Source organism: Homo sapiens, chromosome Y, assembly GCF_000001405.40.
Source record: "Homo sapiens chromosome Y, GRCh38.p14 Primary Assembly".
Classification (NCBI taxonomy): domain Eukaryota; kingdom Metazoa; phylum Chordata; class Mammalia; order Primates; family Hominidae; genus Homo; species Homo sapiens.
In genome coordinates, this window is record NC_000024.10 from 17,043,421 (window position 1) to 17,047,808 (window position 4,388).

General features: G+C 47.4%; 1 annotated feature.

Moving 5' to 3' along the window:
• Positions 495-1,694: an enhancer, noted in NCBI's record as "MED14-independent group 3 enhancer chrY:19155795-19156994 (GRCh37/hg19 assembly coordinates)". NCBI's record gives its function as "activates an origin of replication core promoter dependent on BRD2, BRD4, P300/CBP and CDK7 cofactors, and independent of MED14, by STARR-seq in HCT116 cells {active_cell/tissue: HCT116}" and the evidence as "EXISTENCE:reporter gene assay evidence [ECO:0000049][PMID:35650434]".

Genomic DNA, 4,388 nt, shown 5'->3' on the forward strand with positions numbered 1-4,388 from the left:
GGAGCCTCCCCAACGAGCGCCACCCCCTGCTCCATGGCACCCAGTCCCATCGACCACCCAAGGGCTGAGGAGTGCGGGCGCACGGCACCGGGACTGGCAGGCAGCTCCACCTGCAGCCCCGGTGAGGGATCCACTGGGTGAAGCCAGCTGGGCTCCTGAGTCTGGTGGGGCCTTGGAGGACCTTTATGTCTAGCTCAGGGATTGTAAACACACCAATCAGCACCCTGTGCATAGCTCAAGGTTTGTGAGTGCACCAATTGACACTCTGTATCTAGCTGCTCTGGTGGGGCCTTGGAGAACCTGTGTGTCAAAACTGTATCTAACTAATCTGATGGGGACGTGGAGAACCTTTGTATCTAGCTCAGGGATTGTAAACGGGCCAATCAGCGCCCTGTCAAAACAGGCCACTCGGCTCTACCAATCAGCAGGATGTGGGTGGGGCCAGATAAGAGAATAAAAGCAGGCTGCCGGAGCCAGCAGTGGCAACCCCTGGGGTCCCCTTCCACAGTGTGGAAGCTTTGTTGTTTCCCTCTTTGCAATAAGTCTTGCTACTGCTCACTCTTTGGGTCCCCGCTGCTATTATGAGCTGTAACACTCACTGCGAAGATTTGCAGCTTCACTTCTGAGCCCACCGAGACAACAAGCCCACCCGGAGGAACGAACAACTCCAGACGCTCTGCCTTAAGGGCTGTAACACTCACCGCGAAGGTCTGCAGCTTCACTCCTGAGTCAGCGAGACCACGAACCCACCAGAAGGAAGAAACTCCGAACACATCTGAACATCAGAAGGGACAGACTCCAGACACGCCACCTTAAGAGCTGTAACACTCACCGCGAGGATCCGCGGCTTCGTTCTTGAAGTCAGTGAGACCAAGAACCCACCAATTCTGGACACAATGAGAGTAATAGAAAACGTGTCATGCACAGAGGAGGAATGGAAAGTGTGTGCTACACAGGGGAGAAGCATGGAGTGTGCCCTCTACAGGGAGAAACAGGAAGTGTGTCATGTACAGAGGAGAAACAAAAAGTATGTGCTACACTGAGAGAAAAACAGAAATAGTGTCATTCACAAGGGAGAAAGAGGAAGTGAGTCATGCAGATGGGACTAACAGAAAATGTGTCATGCACAGAGGAAGAACGGAAAGTATGTGCTACACACAGAGAAACAGGATGGGTGCTATGCATGGGAGAGACAAAGGAAGTGTGTCCTGCACAGTGGAGAAACAGAAAGTGTGCCACGCACAGAGGAGGAGTAGAAAGTGTGTCCTGCACAGGGAAAAACCAGGAAGGGTGTGGTGCACAGGGGAGAAACAGGAAGTGTGTCCTACACAGCAGAAGCATAGAAAGCATATATTACACAGGGAAGAAACAGCGTTTCTTCCACAAGGATAAAACAGAAAATGTGTCATGCACACAGGAATAACAGAAAATGTGTCATGAATAGAGGAACAGAAAGTCTTTGCTACGCAGGAAAGAGGAAGTGTGTCCTGCACAAGAGAGACACAGGAAGTGTGTCCTTCACAGCAGAGAAATATGAAGTTTCTCAGAGAAACAAAAAGTATGTCCTGCACAAAGACGACACAGGAAGTGTGTTCTGCACATTGGAGAAACAGGTAGTGTGTCATGCACAGAGGAGGAAGGAAAAGTGTGCTGCACAGGAGAGACGAAGGAAGTGGGTCCTGCAAAAGGAAAAACAGGAAGTGTGTCCTGTGCAAGGATGAAACAAGAAGTGTGTCCTACACATCAAAGGAAAAGGAACTGTGTCCTGTACATTGGAGAAATAAGAAGGGGGTAATGCACAGAAAATGAACAGAAAGTGGGTGCTGCATAGAGAAGAAACCGGAAGTGTGTCATGCACATGGGAGTAACAGAAAATGTGTCATCACAGAGGAATGCAAAGTGTTTACTACACTGAGGATAAATAGGAAAGGTGTTATTCACAGGGGAGGGACAGGAAGTGTGTCTTGCATACGGGAGAAACAGAAAATGTGTCCTGCAGAGGAGAAACAGAGGAAGTGTATCCTGCACAGAGGAGGAATGAAAGTATGTGCTACATTGAGGAGACACAGGAAAGCTGTTATTCACAGGGGAGGCACAGGAAGTGTGTCCTGCACTAAGAAGACACAGGAAGTGTGTCCTGCACATGGAAGAAACAGCAAGTGTGTCTTACATATGTGAGTAACAGAAAATATATCAGGTACAGAGGAGAAATGGAAAATGTGTGCTGCACTGGAAAGAAAAAGTGAATCCCCAACAGGGGAGACACTGGAAGTGTGTCATGCACAGGAGAGAAACAGGAACTGTGTCCTGCACTGTGGAGAAACAGGAAGTATGTCATGCACAGGAGAGGGATGGAAAGTGTTTGCAACACAGAGGAGAGACAGGAAGGTTGTCATTCAAAGGAGAGGCATAGGAAGGAAGTGTGTCTTTCACAGGGAAGAAACAGAAAGTAAGTCCTGCACAGAAGAAAAACATGAGGTGTATTTTGCATAAGTAAGACACAGGAAGCGTGTCATGGGCATGTCAGTAAGTAACAGAAAATGTGTCATGTACAGAGAAGGAACAGAAGGTGTGTGCTACACAGGAAAGAAAAATGTGTCCCCCACACGGGAGATATAGGAAGTGTGTTATACGTAGATTTAAAACAGAAAGCATGCCCTGCACAGGGGAAAAACAGGAAGCGTGTCTTCCACAGGGAAAAAAAAGCTGGAAATGTGTCATGCACATGGGAGTAACACAAAATGGGTCATGTACAGACAGGGAATGGAAAGTGAGTGCTACACAGGGAAGAAAGGAAAAATGGGTCCCCCTCAAGGGAGACACAGGAAATGTGTCCTGCACAGTGGAGAAACAGAAAGTATGTCATGCATATAGAAGGACAGAAAGTATGTGCTACACAGAGGAGAAACAAGAACAATGTCATTCACAGGGAAGGCACAGGAAGTCTGTCTTGCACAGGGGGAACAGAAAATGTGTCTTGCACAGGAAGTGTGTCATGCACAGAGGAAAAATAGGAAGTATGTCATGCACCTGGGAGTAACAGAAAATGGATCATAAACAGGAGGAATGGAAAGTGTCTGCTACACAGGGAAGAAACTAGAAGTGTGTCATTCACAGGAGAAACACGAAAAGTGTGTATTGCACAGCAGAGAAACAAAAAGTGCATCAGGCACAAAGGAGAAACAGAAAGTGTGTCCTGCACAGGCGAAAAACATGAAGTGTGTTCTACATAGGGGAGCAAAAGAAAATGTGTCCTGCACAGGGAAGAAACAAGAAGTGAGTCTTCCTTAGGAAAGAAACAGGAAGTGTGTCATGCACATGGGAATAACTGAAAATGTGTCATGCACAGAGGAGGAATGAAAAGTATGTTCTACACAGGAAATAAAGTGGAAGAGGATTCCTCACAGGGAAGACACAAGTGTATCCTGCAGAGTGAAGAAACAGGAAGTGTGTCATGCACAGAGAAGGAATAGAAAGTGTATGCTACATGGAGGAGAAACAGGAAGGGTGTCATTCACAGGGTAGGCACAGGAAGTGTGTCTTAAACAAAAAAGTAACAGGAAGTTTGTTATGCACAGAAGAGAAACAGGAAATATGTCATGCACAGAGGAGAAATAGTGTGTGCTAAACAGAGGAGAAACAGGAAGGGTGTAATTCACAGCCGTGGCACAGGAAGTGTGCATTGCACAGGAAAGAAACAGGAAGTGTATCATACACAGAGGAGAAACAGGTAGCGTGTCTTACACAGAAAAGGAATGGAATGTATGTCCTGCACAGGGGTGAAGCAGGGGGTCTGTCCTCCACAGGGAAGAAACAGGAAGTGTTTCATGCACAGGGGAGACACAGGAAGTGTGTCAAAGTGCACTCAATAGAGAAACAGGAAGTGTGTCATGCACATGGAAGTAACAGAAAATGTGTCACTCACAGAGGAGGGACAAAAAATGTATGCTACACAGGAAAGAGAGAGGAAGTATGTTCCCCACAGGGGAGACACAGGAAGTTTGTCCTGCACACTGGGGAAACAAGAAGTTTGTCAGGTACAGTAAAGGAACAGAAAGTGTGTGCTACACAGAGGAGAGACAGGAAGGGTGTCATTCCCAGGGGAAGCACAGGAAGTGTGTCTTGCATAGGGGAGAAACAGAAAGTGTGTCATGCACAGAAGAGAAACAGGAAGTGTATACTGCACACCCAGGGAAAGAAAGTGTGTCCTGCACAGGGGAGAGTCAGGAAGTGTGTCCTTCACAGACAAGCAGGAAGTGTGTCATGCACAGGAGAGGCCCAGGAAGTGTCAAAACAATGCAACCAGTTTTGTCTCACTTAGCGGTGACCCAGAAGCCCCCTCTCTGCTTTGAGTTCTCTCTGTCTTTCTAGACAGGACCAATGTACTT